Genomic DNA, 16,376 nt, shown 5'->3' with positions numbered 1-16,376 from the left:
AGCTGGGATTACAGGTGCCCGCCACCACGCCTAGCTAATTTTTGTATTTTTAGTAGAGATGGGGTTTCACCATGTTGGCCAGGCTGGTCTGGAACTCCTGACTTCAAGTGATCCACCCATCTCGGCCTCCTGAAGTGCTGGGATTACAGGCATGAGCCACCAGCCCAATAATTCACTCCCAACACAATAATTTTTTAAAAAAACATTTTGTAGGCCGGGTGCGGTGGCTCACAGAATACTACATTTGTAGACATTTTGGTGCCTTAATGTCAGCAAGGGTTGCACAAGTTTTGATAAGCACGTATTCCAGAGATGTATAGAAATTCTAGTTACTGGCCGGGCACGGTGGCTCACGCCTGTAATCCCAGCACTTTGGGAGGGCGAGTCGGGTGGATCACGAGGTCAGGAGTTCAGGACCAGCCTGGCCAAGATGGTGAAACGCCGTTTCTACTAAAAATACAAAAATTAGCCGGGTGTGGTGGCGGGCACCTGTAATTCCAGCTACTCGGGAGGCTGAGGCAGAGAATTGCTTGAACCCGGGAGACGGAGGTAGCAGTGAGCCGAGATTGCGCCACTGCACTCCAGCCTGGGCAACAGAGTGAGACTCCGTCTCAAACAAACAAACAAACAACAACAAAAAAAAAACCCCAGAAATTCTAGTTAGTTATAAATTTTTGGGAAAGAAGCCTGGAACTAGATTCTTGCTTTAAATAATAAGGAAGTCTAATTGCCTCTAAATTCCCCAGATAAAGAGTTTTGCCTCTCGATGGTCTGCTTTGCAGCCACCAGGTGATTTTTGCTTGCCTCCGTGACCTTTTAAGTGTACGATTTTTTTTTTTGAGATGAGTCTCGCTCTGTTGCCCAGGCTGGAGTGCAGTGGCATGACCTCGGCTCACTGCAACCTCCCCTCCTAGGGTTCTAGCAATTCTCCTACGTCAGCCTCCTGAGTACCTGGGATTACAGGCACCCACCACCATGCCTGGCTAATTGTTTTGTATTTTTAGTAGAGACGGGGTTTCACCATGTTGGCCAGGCTGGTCTTGAACTCCTGACCTCAGGTGATCAACCTGCCTTGGCCTCCCCAAGTGGTAGGACTACAGGCGTGAGCCACCATGCCCAGCCCTAGGGGTGGGCTTTTTTTTTGAGACAGGGTTTCACTGTCGCCCAGGCTGGAGTGCATGAAGAGCAGTTGTTCCAGCATAATGATTACATGGTTTTTATATCATTCCATTTTCTTTCCTTTGTTGGCTTATTAGCTATAACTCTTTCTTTCTTCTGGTCTACCGCTCCCCGACTTCTTTCCCTGCTTTTGCCTTTTCAGTGAGGGCTTCAGGGTTTCCTGAATACACCTTTATCAGTGCCATCTAGTGGCATTATACCTCCTCTTCTGGCCATTATGCTAGTGTTGTCATGTAACTTGATTTCAGACATGTTATAAATCCCAGAATCCATTATTATTGCTTTTTTTAATTATTAAAAAAAGACTTAAATCATAAATAATTTAAAATAAATAAATTATTAAAAAAGATTTAAATAATAAGAACATATATATTTAACTATGTACATACCGATTTGCAGTAGTCTCCATTTCTTTGTGTAGATCCAGATTTCTGTCTGGTATCCTTATCTTTAGGCCTGGAGGACTCCTTTTGCATTTCTTGTAGTGTGGGTTGCTGAATTCTTTCATTTTTTATATGTTTTTAAATGTCCTTATTTCAGTCATATTCTTGAAAGATTTTTCACTTTGACATAGAATTCTAGGAAAACTTTATTTCTTTCAGTACTTTAGGATGTTGCCACTTTGTTTTTGTAAAACTGGCTGAAAGTGGGCTTCCTGTACTTGTTATATAATTTTGGGAATGTGTATTTAAATTAAAAACATTAAAATGGGCTGGACGAGGTGGTGCATGCCTATAGTCCCAGCACTTTGGGATGGGGAGATAGGAGGATCGCTTGAGGCCCAGAGTTGGAGACCAATATGGGCAAGATTGCAAGACTCTGTCTCTCATATATATATGAGAGACATATATATATGTGTGTATATATATATATGTGTGTGTGTATATATATGTATACATATATGTATATGTATACACACCCACACACATACATACATACATCGTGAATGTCTTAGATTCATCTTAAGTTCCACCGACAGTGAACTTAAAGTAAAATGTGCCCAACCTGAGGGTCAAACCTACCTGCTGACATGTAATTTGTGTTTATGAGACATTCTCAACAGCATTTGCTTTCCCTAGCATAGTGGTTTTCATGTTTTCCTCACACCTGAGTGTCTTAAGTGCAAAACCTGTCAGAAATCATTTCCTTTGCCAAAAGATACTTTTTTTTTTTTTGATATCAGTTCACTGCAACTTCCCCTTCCCATGTTCACAGGTTTCTCTTGCCTCAGCCTCTCGAGTAGCTGGGACTACAGGCCGGTGCCAACATACCTGGCTAATTTTTGTATTTTTCGTAGAGACAGAGTTTCGCCATGTTGGCCAGGCTGGTCTCGAACTCCTGACCTCAAGTAAAATGCCCACCTCTGCCTCCCAAAGTGTTGGGATTACAGGTGTAAGCCACCGTGCCCGGCCTGAAATACTCTTACTTTAAGGAAAAGTGCATTAAAAACAAACTTCTCAGTTGCATCTCTGGAATCCATAGAAAGCCAGGGAGAGACAATCAAGTGCTACAGGATCAAGTGCTAAACAGGGGAGGACAAAGCATGGCTTCCTAACTAGGAGTCAGGGCAAAGTTACCTGCTTTGGTTTCCAATGGAGACCGGAACTCGGTTCACCTGCAACAGGAGGACGCGGCCCAGAGGAGGCGGACTTTCTCTTCATGGTGCCTTCAGATAGGAAATCTCCTAGGATTTCTTTCTTTCCCTTTGATCTACTTCCAACGCTCCCTTTCTGTTTCTTCAGATGTTTTTTGGATCCCTAATGCGCAGGACCTAAGGGGCTGGTGCCTTTCCCTACCCTCCCTGCCTGGGTGTCTTCAGCACCCAAGCTCACCCAGAACATTACTGCCTGCCAGAGACAGTGAGGGGACCAAGGAGAGTGGCAGGTGCAGTGGGAACCACAGAGTCACCGTGTACCTGTGCTTTGTAGGCTCCTAGCAAATTGAATAAACGCCCCCTGAAGCTTCTCTGCAGGTCACAGGGAAGGGGAGGGTTGTTGCCCACCCAGTGGGAGAAGCGTCAAAAAGCATCAGGAGTATCTGGCCCTACCCCTGTGCCTGGAAGACAGACCTGGCTAGGCTGATTTTAATGGTTAGGCCCAAGGAAAAGGCCCAAGGGCGGCCCAAACCCCGACCCTGAGATTAAGGCTTTCAAATGTCTGATCGTTTTGATGTTGGTCAGTAGAATCCATCCCACCTTTATCAGGAGACTCCTTTGCCAAAATTCAGAGATCTGGGATTCCTGCTGGTTGCCACAGAGAAAGCCAATCACCGAGATGATTATTGCCAAGGAAGGCGCTTTAATAGGGTGCTGCAGTGGGGGAGATGAGAACTCAGTCTCAAATCCATCTCCCTGACCAACAAAACCAGAGGTTTATATGGCAGGGAAGAAATGTAACAATGTGTAAGAAAACAGGAACTAGGGAGGAGCAAGGAAGCAATCATGATGAATGAGGGGTCCCAGCATCTCATTGTCTGGATGAATTTCAGTTCTTTGATGGCTTTTTTGAGAGGCCTGAAGGTTGTTTCCTGAGGAAGGAACTCAGACGAAACAAATATTAAGTTTCAAGCTTTAAGACCAGCAGGGTCAATTTCTAGGTTTATCCAAAAAAGCTACATATGGGACTACTGGGTGGTTTTCAGACCAAGAAAGAAAAAGACTGTGCAGACCAAAGTCTGCAGTTAACCAAAGAAAAAACATAATTTTCTGACCAATAGGATGTATGGGGCCAGAGAATGACCAGCCTATAGAAGAACTGTTTTTTGTCCTGAGCATAGGGGAAGGATGAAGTTGCACCAACTAAGGTGGAATTAAGCTGCAGATGGGGAAAAATCTGGATTTTGGTTCAGAGCCCTGGGGTCTTCCTCAAAAGTCTCTTTCCTTGAAAGAGGAACCCTGTCTCGGTTTCTGCATCTCTCTGAGTCCTTTTGGAGGTTGAGGATGCTGAGGTCTTGGTGCTTGGCCCCCTCTAACCCTGAGTACTTCCCCTCCTGTGGGGTAACCTGGCCCAGTACCCAGGCCCCAGCTCTGGCGACCATTTCCCCCTACTTTGCTCCTAGCAAAGGCCATTTCTAGGTCAGTCGTGAGGTACAGGCAGAACGGGCAACTTCTTCTGAGATTTTTGGCCCTGGAAGGCCTTGAGCCCTGTGGTCCTGCAGAACTGCTGTCTCCCTCTTTTGGAGAAAGCAGGGAGGAAATGACCTGTGTGGGGGGAATTGTGAGCTGCACCTGCACAGAGGAGCTGAGGCAAGCAGGGCAGTTCTGGTCTGTCAATGTAAAGGACATTTATCATTCAAGAGGTTGGGCTGTTATTATTAATTTTGAATTTTGTCAATACAAACTGAAGGGAAATTTGTCTTCTTACTTGTAGGAACCTCACAAGACCACCCATCTTATATTCCAGGGAGAATTGCTGCGTATTACACAAACTCATAGGTGAGACTGCCGTTCTGACCTGCAGGCCTGGATGCCCTGCACAGGGGCACAGAGCACTGGCAAAGCCCTTCCCATACAAACAGCAAGCATGTTATGTCTACAACCCAACGGCACCAGTTCCAAGTACAATTTCTACTTGGCTGTATGAGCTGAGTACACGTTCCCCCCAGCACAGAAATCCTGCAAACTCCCATGAATGCTATAGTGAAAAGCAGGGGCTGGCCAGGTGTGATGGATCACACCTGTAATCCCAGGACTTTAGAAGGCCAAGGCAGGGCGGATTATTTGAGTCCAGGAGTTGGAGACCAACCTGGGCAACATGGTGAAACTTCAACTCTTAAAAAACAAAACAACCACCACCACAACAAAACCAAGAACAGAAATTAGCTGGCTGTGGTGACTCGTGCCTCTGCTACTCCAGAGGCTGAGGTGGGAGGATCGCTTAAACCAAGATGCTACCAGATAGAGTGAGACTCTGTCTCGGGGAAAAAGACAAACAAAATAAGTCTGTGTAAGAGGTGACTCTGGGGACAGTGGAAAAACACTAAGGTTTTCAAGTGGTGGTAAAAGCCAGTAGGCCTTGGGGACCATTGAGCAGTCTACAAAGCAGGGAAGCCTAGATCCCTGAGCTCCGCCTGCCAAGTACCACCACAGCTAACATGAGAGACCTCTGCCACAGAGACTGAAATTTGCCTCCCAAGGAAACAAGTGACTACAGACATCTGTCCCAGGACAGTAAACAAGGTCTCACAAAAACAAAAACAGCTGACCACACCATAAAATCACTGAGACCGAGCCTGCGACTATAGGCGAAAAAAAAAAGGCTATTATTCATACCGTGAAAGACCAGGGGAAAGTGCAGACACAGTCCCCTACTACTGTTGTGGGAATCAGGAGAACAGAGAGACCAATGGGTGGAACAGGAGGATTTTATTGAGTGCCCTCAGGCCCAGAGGATTAAAATCCAAAGGCTGAGCCCCGAACAAAGACAGGGTTTGACTTTTATACACACTTCAAAAAGGGGGTTGGCTAGTTTGAATGGCATGGTGGGACTATGATGGCACCAAACTCGCGGGGCAGGCAAGAGGGCTTACAGAAGCAGAACAAAGGCAGCTAGTCAAACTGTGACAGGTCTCACGAGGCAAGAATAGCTGGTGACCTTGCAGCTGCACTGAAGGGAAATCAAGAACTTAACAAAACTTGAATAGTGAGAAATGGTAAAGGGAAAAGAGAAGGTAATAAAAGCATTTGCTGTTTCTTGCTCTTATCCTTCCTAGGGATAACAGACTGTTAAGAGAGTCTCCAGAACTCATTTCTCAGCGATGTGGTTTTTCAGAAACTATCTGTTCCTGACCTTGCAGCCAAGCAAGTACAGGAAAATACTTTTTCTTTTTAATTTCTACCTTATTACTACAAGTTACAAAACAGAGGTTTCCACGTTTGGAAAAATAAGAGACAACAACATAGCCATAGAATGCATAGCCCTCAGCCTTACAGTAAACCACTTTGATAACCATAACATGTGCTCTACATACCACACATGTGAACTTCCGCCCCGCCACAGCTCCATACGCCTCACCCTTTACACGCACGGTCACTTGCCCCGAGCACCACCCCAGCCAATCCCCAATCACCCTGAGCCCTCCTAGCCCTAACGCACAGCTAGGACGCTCACGTCCAGCCAGCGGTCCCGGACTTGCTCCTACAGCACGGGAAATCCTTCATGGCGAAGCAGCAGCCCCTGCGCTGCCTCATCTACATAGAAACGCCCTATCGGTGATGTCACCAACAGTGCCTTTCCCAGTCCCCTTCTGTTCTTCCGCCCCACCCTCCTCCACTCAGCCCACCAACCCGGTGCCGCAGCCGGCGGGGGAAGTGACGTCCGCCTGTCCCTCCTTTCTGTCTCGCCCTTGTCTTTTGGGGAGGTGCGCCGAGACCCTGCATCTAGTCTCCCCCGAAGAAGTGATTACTTAACCTGTGTCCTGCGGAGGACCCTTCTGGCGGGCAGCTGGAAGCCTGTGCACCCGTCTTCAAATAATGGCTTTTAATAGCAGACTGGAACGTTTCGGATTACAAAGCAAACCGGACCCTTTCAAACCTGGTTATCTTTGTGAAGTAGCATTCCACTTAAAATTGGGAGCCCTTTAATAACAGAGAGAAATCATGTCTATGAAACTAGAGAAGCTGCTCAGATAACTGCAAACCAGCCATCCTTACTGGTTTTACGAGTAGTAGTGTTATAAAGAAAGTTGTCCAGTTTTATGAGTCTTGTAGGTTTGTTTTTTTGTTTTTCAAATACAGTAGTGTACAAAAAGGAAGCAGAATGTGGTTGCTGTCTCAATGTAATGCCTCGCTGGGCCTGAGAATTTGAAAATAAAAAAGTTCTCTTCTTTCCCCATTCTCCCTTTAGATGAAAAGTCTTTCTTGGCCGGGCGCGGTGGCTGACGCTTGTAAGCCCAGCACTTTGGGAGGCTGAGGCGGGCCGATCACGAGGTCAGGAGATCGAGACCACGGTGAAACCCCGTCTCTACTAAAAATAAAAAAAAAAAATTAGCCTGGCGTGGTGGCGGGCGCCTGTAGTCTCAGCTACTCGCAGAGGCTGAGGCAGGAGAATGGCGTGAACCCGGGAGGCGGAGCTTGCAGTGAGCTGAGATCGCCCACTGCACTCCAGCCTGGGCGACAGAGCGAGACTCCGTTTAAAAAAAAAAAAAGTATTTCTTGAAAGCATTGTCGATCAAAAGCTGTGTCCCTCCTTGCCAGAATGGCTCATTCCCAGATAGTCCTGTCCCACACGGGGGTCAGGGGAGGGAAGGAGACCTCTCTTTTTAACAGCGTCCAAAAGCTGAACTGGTGTGGCATCACAACATGGAAAAAAAAAAAAAAAAAGAGAGAGAGAGAGAGAGAGAGATATCTCGGCCAATTCTATAGTTGCTGTCACTTGTTGAATCATCTCTAGTTTTCAGAGTACCATGAATTTAGTTTCTCAAAAGAAGTAAAACAATGAGAAATACATAACATTAATAATTTGAGTAGTAGAAATATAATGCATACAAGAATGATCATCACAAAGAGAATCTGTATCCTGGAACAGTAAGGGAACCAGGGAACTGGGATTTGATGTTTCAGCCAACTGAAAACATCAGGGAAAACATCAAACCCCATTTCTTCTTTAGTGATTTCTTGCAGCCAAGTGGCTTCTTTTCTGATTTTTTCTAGAGAAGGTTCTACTACATGGGAAATGTATATGTATATGCAACAAAAGGTATTTGCCACCACACATCTCCCTGCTCAGCTAAATGTATCACCTAAAGTGATGTGATTATCTAGTACAACCTTAGCCAGTGACTAAATACCTTTTTATAGAGCTGCAAAAGAGGCCGCAGTTTCATCAGCAATGTTTTTCTTTCTTTTTCTTTTTCTTTCAGAGACAGTGTCTGGCTCTGTGGCTCAGGCTGGAGTGCAGTGGCGCCATCATAGCTCACTGCAGCCTCAAACTCTTTGGCTTAAGTGATTCTCCTGTCTCAGCCCCTGAGTCACTGGGATTACAGGCCAGAGCCACCATGCCTGGTTTTCATCAGCAATGTTTCCTGAGGTTACAAAAAGATTTGTAATCCTGGGAGGAAACACTCCCTTGAAGCAAGTGTTCTCCCCAAAAAAATGCAAGGAGCTATCTTCTTGATAGCCAGGCAGATAATTCTCAGGTTTTGCCCCACAGAATCTCTATCTAAAATAGAGCAGTGGTCATGCCTAGTGAAAAGTTTGAGGGAACTCGCCCAATGTTGGGTTTCTTCAGAGCCATATATATAGATATAACCAAATATCCTAAAAGACACTGCCCTTCATCATTCCATGCCGTTAGACATTTACAGGACCATGGATGGTGATCTCCTCCAGACAAAAATAAATGCTGGTGCAGAACAGGTAAGTGTATTATAATTTGAGTACATCAGCTTTTGGGCATTTTAAACCATGGGTCAGACATGTTAGAGCAAGAGGGCAGGTTGATAGCAAGAGGGAGTGTTTTTCTTTTAATTTTCCAATAGCAAAGTGATGTTTGCCACTGTCATTTCAGAGTGAGGTGACAATTTGTTGTTGTTTGGTTTTGTGGGTTTTTTGTTTGTTTGTTTTTGAGACAAGGTCTCACTGTCACCCAGGCTGGAGTGCAGTGGCATGATCAGGGTTTACTTCTGCTTTGACCTCACATATTCAAGCAAACCTCCTTACTAATCCTCCCGAGTAGCTGGGACTACAGGCACGTGCCCCCACACCCTGGGGTGTGAACTGGGATTTGATGTTTTCAGTTGGCTCTCTAATGGAATAGGTTCCCTTACTCTTCTAGAATCAGATTGTCTTCATGATTATCATTCTTGTGTGCATTATACTTCTACTACGCTGCTGATTTTTTCTTTTTTTTTTTAATTTTTATTTTTGAGACAGTCTTTCTCTGTCACCCAGGCTGTATTGCACTGGCAGGATCTTAGCTCACTGCAACCTCTGCCTCCTGGGTTCAAGCGATTCTTTTCCTTCAGCCTCCTGAGTAGCCACCTGGCTGATTTTTGTATTTTTAGTAGAGACAGGGTTTCACCATGTTGGCAGGCTGGTCTCGAACTCCTGACCTCGAGTGATCCGCCCGCCTTGGCCTCCTATAGTGCTGGGATTAAAGACATGAGCTACCACACCTGGCTCTCAAACCATTTTAATTAAGCAAAGACAGATTTGTCTGGCTTTTTAGTACAATGCTGAATTATCCTCCAATCTATATTTTTAGGAAGGACCTGGGGAGTGGCAACATGGAGATATTTGGTGAAAATGTGAACCTTTCATGTTCTGCTTCAGTCCCTTTTTGAAAATCCTTCCAATTTGCCTTTGCAACCAGTTAGTGGCCTTGCCTTCTTCACCAGCATGTGAATTGATTGATAAAGGTCAGAATATTTGGGCTCAAAGGTTTCAACAGTTAAGTCAAATTTTCTGCCAGAGCCTATAGAATCTCGGAGCCTGCTTTAGAAACAGAAGAGTGAAATGTATTTAAGTTTAGATCAGGGAAGTCCTTTATAATATTCTTAATTCACGTTTTGGTGAAGTGGTATACACAATGGTAGGCTCCCCTCTTCCTGTGGGTTTGGGTTTTACCTTTAAAGGGGCTGTCAGAACAGAAGTTTTGGGGAAGTGGCCAGAGCCCTGGGGACTTTCCCCAGGTGGTGGTGATGGAAGAAGAAGCAAGGCAGGACAGGAAGGCTCAGGTAAGAAAGACTATGCAGGTGCAGGGGCAGGAGGAGAAGGAGCAGCTGGAGGTGAAAGAGACAAAGCCTCCTCAATATTTCTCAATTCAGAAAACATGACAGTTTACCTCCTTCAGCTTACTTCCTCAATGGAGGCAATTTTCTCAGTTTTTTTAGAAATTTTAGAAATTTAGAAATTTCTAGGTCTCACTGGAAGTAATCTCCCATTTAATTTGTCTGGTTCTAAAACCAAATTTCTCTGTTTTTATTTTTATTTTTTTGAGACAAGGTCTCACTATGTCACCCAGACTGGAGTGCAGTGGTGTGATCTCGGCTTACTGCACTCACCGCTTGCTGCATGACGGCCAATAAGTCCAGGGATAAGGTGTAGGGGCAGGGAAGGTGACTTTATTCCAGAGAGCCACCAAACTGAACAGATGGTGAACTAACATCCTAAAGAACCATCTTAAATTAATATGATTTTCAGGTTCCTTGTACGTTAGGGAAGGGAGGAAGAAGGAGGCGGTTGAGGTGAAGAGGTCTGACAATGACAGACATATGGGCTGCAGTGAGAGCCCAAGGGGATGGTGAAAATTCTTTGTCCTTTGTCAGGTCACACTGCTCTTATAAATCTTCAACAACCTGCCTATCTTCTCAGGAGTTAGTTTGGGGAAAGGATTATTATCATCTGTGCTTTAAAGTTAAACTGTAAGCTAAATCCCTCCCATAGATAGCTTGGCCTATGTGCAGAAAGAAGAAAAAGCAGTTAGCCTGAAAGACATCACCACAGGGTAGGAAGGGTTAGGAGCAAAATGCAGTCAGTCATGCTGGGCCTCCTTTTCATTGCCATATATTTAATTTACTTGAACACATAATTTTAATTTTTTATACTTTATTTTTATTTATTTATTTATTTTTTGAGACCGAATCTCACTTTGTTGCCCCCCCAGGCTGGAGTGCAATGTCGCGATCTTGGCTCAGTGAAACCTCTGCCTCCCGGGTTCAAGCAATTCTCCTGACTCAGCCTTCTGAGTAGCTGGGATTACAGGAGCCCCCCACCATACCCGGCTAATTTTTGTATTTTTAGTAGAGACAGGGTTTCACCTTGTTTGCCAGGCTGGTCTCGAACTCCTGACCTCAGGCTCCCAAAGTGCTGGGATTACAGGTGTGAGCCACCATGCCCAGCCTAACCAAGATTATTAAACCATTCTAATTTGTCAAAAGAGTCACACTGACTTTTAAAAAATAACATAATAGACCAGATGCAGCGGCTCACGCCTGTAACCCCAGCACTTTGGGAAGCCGTAGCAGGTGAATCATGAGGTCAGGAGTTCGAGACCAGCCTGACCAACATGGTGAAACCCTGTGTCTACTAAAAATACAAAAATTAGCTGGGTGGGGTGGCGCACGTCTGTAATTCCAGCTACTCACGAGGCTGAGGCAGGAGAATTGCTTGAACCCGGGAGGCAGAGGTTGCAGTGAGCCGAGATTGTACCACTGCACTCTAGCTTAGGCAACAGAGTGAGACTATGTCTCAAAATAAATAAATAAATAAATAAATAAATAAATATAATAATGTAATGAACTTTTTCATGTCTTTATATATTAAATATTACATTATTTAAATTGTCCAAAAGCATCAAAAATTCCTCTCTGCTATCAACTTCATTTCATTTATTTTATTGTACCAAACTATCAAGACCATTAATTTAATCTACAGCTAAATCTATTATTTTTTCATGTTAGAAATTCAACAAGAAAATTTTTCCCTAATGAAACCTCACATTTCAAGCATAAGGAGCCTGGGCGAGGTGGCTCACACCTGTAATCCCAGCACTTTCGGAGTCCGAGACAGGTGCATCACTTGAGGTCAGGAGTTTGAGACTAGCCTGGGAAACATGATGAAACCCTGTCTCTACTAAAAACATAAAAATTAGCTGGATGTGGTGGCGTGTGCCTGTAATCCCAGCTACTCTGGAGGCTGAGGCAGGGAAATAGCTTCAACCTGGAAGGCAGAGCTTGCAGTGAGCTGAGATGGCACCACTGCACTCTAGCCTGGGCTACAGAGCAAGACTCTGTCTCAAAAATAAATAAATAAATAAGCATAAGTAGTAAAAATAAAATAAAAAATAAGACACAGGGTCTTGCTGTGTTATCCAGGCTAGAGTGCAGCAGGGCAATCATAGCTGACCAACTTGGAACTTCTGGGCTCAGGCAATCCTCCTGGCTCAGCTTGCCTTGTGTTTTTTTAGAGATGAGGTCTTGCCCTGTTCCCCAGGCTGGTCTCCAACCGCTGGCCTAAAGCAATCCTTCCGCCTCAGCCTGTTGAGTTGCTGGGAGTACAGGTGCAAGACATGCAGCCTAGCATTGTAGTAAAACAATTTTCAACAAATTCTATATTTTCTTTTCTTTTTTTTTTTTTGAGTTGGGAGTCTCACTCTGTCACCCAGGCTGGAGGGCAGTGGCACAATCATAGTTCACTGGAGCCTGCCTCAGTCTCCCTAGTAGCTGAGATTACAGTCATGCATTATCATGCCCTGCCAACTTTAAAAAATTAGCTAATACTTAAAAATTTGTAGAGACAGGAGTTTCACTATGTTGCCCAGGCTGGTCTCCAACTCTTTAAGTGCTGGGATTGTAGATATGAGCCACCATTCCTGGCTTAATTTTCTTATTTTAATTTTATATAAGTGATTATTATTGTTCCTAAGATAATGGAGGCAGTGACTCCTTTAACATTTTAGAGACCTAATCGGTCTAGTCCCTTCACTGAAAGAGTACGCCAACTTGTTTCATGAGAAAATATCCTATATTTATAAAGCAGGAAAATTCCTTTCACTAAACTAGGGGGCATTCTAAAGAAATGAATTGTGCTAAGTAACATCACTTAAAGTGAAAACAGAGGCAATGGTATCTATTAACAATGTTTATCAGTGAAGGAAATAAACTGAAAATATGAGTATCATTAGATCCTTGGAGGGCCTTCATTGCTGAAAATCTGAGTAATATTGTGGTACCCTTTTGAGTCCTGCAGGGCATTCTCTTTCCAGGGCATGTAACAGTGGGTGAATAATTTCTTTTCATTCATTTTCATTAAGGGCTGAACTTCCTTAATGTTCTGGAGATTACTAAATTTGATTTATATAGTTGTGAAAAGTGCTCATATTGCTGATTCCATTGCTTATATGTGATCATATAAATCTTTTCTCTTCTTTCTGTAGTGTAGTTTAAACTTAATCCTTAAAGGACATGTATTTGAATTTTTCAGCTGGTTAGAAACCTGAATATACCAATCAAAGAAAACTGCTCCTTACATGCTACAGATTTAGTTTTCTTCCTGTACTAAGATGTCTTTTAGATACAGTAAATTCGTTAAAGCCAAGAGCCCCTAGGAAATGAAGTTGGGTGGGAGGGGGGACATTGAGTAGTAAGATCACTCTTGTAATAGAGATGCCACTCTTGCAGATATTGACAACAATTGGGCCTATAAAATTTTTACCAAACATTGGAAAGACAAGATCTGAACAACTTATCATTGCTGCAGTCTCAAATTTCAGGAAATACCATTATTCTCAGGACAATAAATAGACAATAAAGAAGACTCACAGACCAGATTAGCTGTCATGTATCACCAAACAGGGACTGGATCCTTGTCAACACGACCCAACAGAGATTGTCCCCAGAAATTCACTTCATAGCCTCAAAACCAAAAACCCACACTGATGGCAAAAAATAATGATGCAAATAATGAGAAAGAGAGAGAGAGAGAGAGAGAGAGAGAGAGAGAGACCTGTCCTATAGCCATACTCAGTGGGTAAAAGCCAAAGAGCTCAATTTCTGCTCATGATACTTAATAGAACATAGGGAACATGAGCCAATAGCTCAATGGGTTCAGATCTGCACCAAGTGCCTGTTGGATGCAGGATTCTACTGTCTCCAACAACAATGTCTCAGATGGACTAATTTTTTTTTTTTTTTTTTTGAGACAGAGTCTCACTCTATTGCCCAGGCTGGGGTGCAATGGCACGATCTCGGCTCACTGTAACCTCCGCCTGCCGGGTTCAAGCGATTCTCCTGCCTCAGCCTCCCGAGTAGTTGGGATTACAGACCCACACCACCATGCCCGGCAATTTATTTTTATTTTTATTTTTAGTAGAGACGGAGTTTCGCCATGTTGGTCAGGGTGGTCTCGAACTCCTGACCTCAGTTGATCAAAAGTAGGTGATGTCAGAAAACATACCCTGGGAGAGGCTGGCACAATGCCCAGAACCGCCATCGCTAGGCCTGGGGTTTTCCTCTGTAGTGGAATACTAGTATTCATGTAGTTCAGGGACAAAACCAATTAGATACTTCTGGGAGTTAAAAAGAAATGCATTTTCAGTGCCATTTGAGAAAGGGTATTAAGGAATTTGTCAGGGTACTGACGCGTGTCAGGTATAAACCGCAGGTTGAGAGAGAGCTAAGTATTTTCTGTCCATGAAGGTGATAAGCGAGGGCCTGAAGAAAGAGGGACTGGGGAGGACACTGGCACCAGAAATAGGAAACGGCTGCTTGGGGGTGGGAAGGATGGGTCTGGGTGCTATCTAGAAAGTTGCCTGGCAATGGATGTAGGATGTGGGAGCGAGACATCAAACAAGAAGCTGTCGCTTAAATAAAGTCTGAAGAAACACTAGATATATGAACTGCCGGAGATAGTAGGGAAACTGTACCTGGCTCCTCATAAAACTTCCCGCCTTCTATCTCCGGGAGGATCGCAGGGCATTTCCGCCAAGACAGGTGAGACTGCGGTTCTGACCTACGGGCCTCCATGAATATGCGCGAGGGCACCTGGGGGCCGGCAGAGCCGTTCCCCTACGCAAAGTAAGCGTGTTATGTCTACAACCCAACGGGGACACTGAGAGCCCCAAAGGCCCTGCTTTCTTCCTGGAGAACAGCACCCATCTGCGTAGTTTCTACCTGGCTCTATGAGGTGAGAACACACTCCCCGCTAGCACAGAAATCCTACAAACTCCTGTGGGGGCTGCGCTTGGAAGCAGAGGCTGTGTAAGAGGTGACTTGGGGGGTAGGGAAAAACAGGAAGATTTTCACACAGGGTGAGAACCCAAGAGACTGGAGACCACGGACCAATCCCTGCAAAAAGCAGCCAGGGTAGAAAGGGAAGAGCTGAGCGGACTTCACGATAGCTAATTTGTGTTACAAAGCCGATACGGCTGATGCTCGCTTTTTCTCCTATGGCGTGCAGGCGACATGTTACTTCCTATTCGCCAGCCCTCCACTGTAGGATTAACATTTAAGACGCCAACCAAGACACAAACCAAAACAAAAAAAGATATGACCCTTAGCGTACAGTCTACTTTTAGAAACTCCAGAAAGTCAGGGGAAAGCGCGAACGCAGTCCCCCACTACCACAAATTATGCAGTCGAGTTTCCCACATTTGGGGAAATCGCAGGGGTCAGCACATCCGGAGTGCAATGGATAAGCCTCGCCCTGGGAAAACCACCTTCGTGATCATGGTATCTCCCCTGCCAGGTAAGTATGAGATCTTCGGGCTCTGCCCCGACACAGCCTCATACGCCTCACTCTTTACACACACGGTCACTTGCCCCGCGCACTCCCGAGCCCTTTCCAGCCCTGACACACAGCTGGGATTCTCTCTTCCGATCCGCGGTCCTGAACCCGCTCCCAGGGCAGGGGAACTCCTTCGTGGCGAAGCAGCAAGTGGCGAAGCAGCAGCCTCTGCGCTGCCTCATCTACATAGAAGTCGCCCTGTCCGTGATGTCACCGACAGTGCCTTGCCCAGTCCCCGTCTGCTTTTCTGCCACTCAACTGACCAATCTGCTGCCAGAGCCGCCAAGAGGAAGTGACGTCTGCCTCTCCCTTTTTCCCTCCCGCCCCTGCGTCTGTTCTCTCCCAAAAAAGCTGGTCCTTAGCCTGTGTTAAGGAGCAACCTTTCGGTGGCCAGATGGAGCCGGGGCATCCTTCTTCAAATAATGGCTTTTAATTCGCAGACTAGAATGTTTCGGATTACAGAAGAAACCGGTTCTCTTCACATCTTTATCCCTGTGATGCAGCATTCCACTTGCAATTGGAAGCCGAGAGAAACCATGTTTATGAAAGTAAAGAGGCTGCTCAGATGACTGCAAACCAGCCTTCCTTACTGGTTTTATCACTGGTAATGTTATAAAGACAGTTGTCCAGTTTCATGAATCTTGTAGGTTTTTTTTTTTTGATTTTTTTTCCAAAATCAGTATTGTAGAAAACTATGCTGCCCCAGAAGAGATGATTGGACACTCTCAAGCGTGGTGCTGGACTTTGTCATCTCTTGCACAGCCATCTCCACACCTTAGTGCTTACCTCATGTTAGTTTTTTATATTCTGCAAAGACGAAATCAAAATAATCCAAATTTGACACAAATACCTGGGCTACATCTTATTTGAGATGTTTAACAATGTCTGGATCATCTTTTCTTATATATTACGCAGGAAACACTGTGAAGTAAGCAAAGTTGGAATGCCCAAGTGAAAGACCATTTGAATATTTACA

At 44.8% G+C, this 16,376-nt stretch overlaps 1 non-coding gene across 1 annotated transcript, besides 10 other annotated features; it reads right to left on the bottom strand.

Annotated features, from left to right (window-relative positions):
• Positions 5,741-6,035: a silencer, noted in NCBI's record as "tiled region #252; HepG2 Repressive non-DNase unmatched - State 5:Enh". NCBI's record gives its function as "represses a minimal TATA promoter and a strong SV40 promoter by Sharpr-MPRA in HepG2 cells {active_cell/tissue: HepG2}" and the evidence as "EXISTENCE:reporter gene assay evidence [ECO:0000049][PMID:27701403]".
• Positions 5,741-6,415: a biological region, named in NCBI's record as "Sharpr-MPRA regulatory region 252".
• Positions 5,776-6,415: an enhancer, noted in NCBI's record as "NANOG-H3K27ac-H3K4me1 hESC enhancer chr1:17231429-17232068 (GRCh37/hg19 assembly coordinates)". NCBI's record gives its function as "activates a minimal SCP1, AML or CMV promoter by ChIP-STARR-seq in primed H9 embryonic stem cells {active_cell/tissue: H9 hESC(primed)}" and the evidence as "EXISTENCE:reporter gene assay evidence [ECO:0000049][PMID:30033119]".
• Positions 6,416-7,055: an enhancer, noted in NCBI's record as "NANOG-H3K27ac-H3K4me1 hESC enhancer chr1:17230789-17231428 (GRCh37/hg19 assembly coordinates)". NCBI's record gives its function as "activates a minimal SCP1, AML or CMV promoter by ChIP-STARR-seq in primed H9 embryonic stem cells {active_cell/tissue: H9 hESC(primed)}" and the evidence as "EXISTENCE:reporter gene assay evidence [ECO:0000049][PMID:30033119]".
• Positions 6,572-6,621: an enhancer, noted in NCBI's record as "active region_273". NCBI's record gives its function as "activates an Ori minimal core promoter by ATAC-STARR-seq in GM12878 lymphoblastoid cells {active_cell/tissue: GM12878}" and the evidence as "EXISTENCE:reporter gene assay evidence [ECO:0000049][PMID:35858748]".
• Positions 6,722-6,771: an enhancer, noted in NCBI's record as "active region_272". NCBI's record gives its function as "activates an Ori minimal core promoter by ATAC-STARR-seq in GM12878 lymphoblastoid cells {active_cell/tissue: GM12878}" and the evidence as "EXISTENCE:reporter gene assay evidence [ECO:0000049][PMID:35858748]".
• Positions 7,242-7,521: an enhancer, noted in NCBI's record as "active region_271". NCBI's record gives its function as "activates an Ori minimal core promoter by ATAC-STARR-seq in GM12878 lymphoblastoid cells {active_cell/tissue: GM12878}" and the evidence as "EXISTENCE:reporter gene assay evidence [ECO:0000049][PMID:35858748]".
• Positions 14,141-15,073: an enhancer, noted in NCBI's record as "OCT4-NANOG-H3K27ac-H3K4me1 hESC enhancer chr1:17222771-17223703 (GRCh37/hg19 assembly coordinates)". NCBI's record gives its function as "activates a minimal SCP1, AML or CMV promoter by ChIP-STARR-seq in naive and primed H9 embryonic stem cells {active_cell/tissue: H9 hESC(naive and primed)}" and the evidence as "EXISTENCE:reporter gene assay evidence [ECO:0000049][PMID:30033119]".
• Positions 15,074-16,007: an enhancer, noted in NCBI's record as "OCT4-NANOG-H3K27ac-H3K4me1 hESC enhancer chr1:17221837-17222770 (GRCh37/hg19 assembly coordinates)". NCBI's record gives its function as "activates a minimal SCP1, AML or CMV promoter by ChIP-STARR-seq in naive and primed H9 embryonic stem cells {active_cell/tissue: H9 hESC(naive and primed)}" and the evidence as "EXISTENCE:reporter gene assay evidence [ECO:0000049][PMID:30033119]".
• RNU1-2 (RNA, U1 small nuclear 2) lies at positions 15,206-15,369 on the bottom strand. Its single transcript, NR_004427.1, has one exon. It is a non-coding gene; the product is annotated as an RNA, U1 small nuclear 2 (small nuclear RNA).
• Positions 15,252-15,331: a silencer, noted in NCBI's record as "silent region_336". NCBI's record gives its function as "represses an Ori minimal core promoter by ATAC-STARR-seq in GM12878 lymphoblastoid cells {active_cell/tissue: GM12878}" and the evidence as "EXISTENCE:reporter gene assay evidence [ECO:0000049][PMID:35858748]".

The sequence above is a fragment of the Homo sapiens genome, chromosome 1 (assembly GCF_000001405.40).
Source record: "Homo sapiens chromosome 1, GRCh38.p14 Primary Assembly".
Classification (NCBI taxonomy): Eukaryota; Metazoa; Chordata; class Mammalia; order Primates; family Hominidae; genus Homo; species Homo sapiens.
The sequence above is the reverse complement of the archived record's forward strand: the minus strand, read 5'-3'. Positions and strand labels throughout refer to the sequence as shown.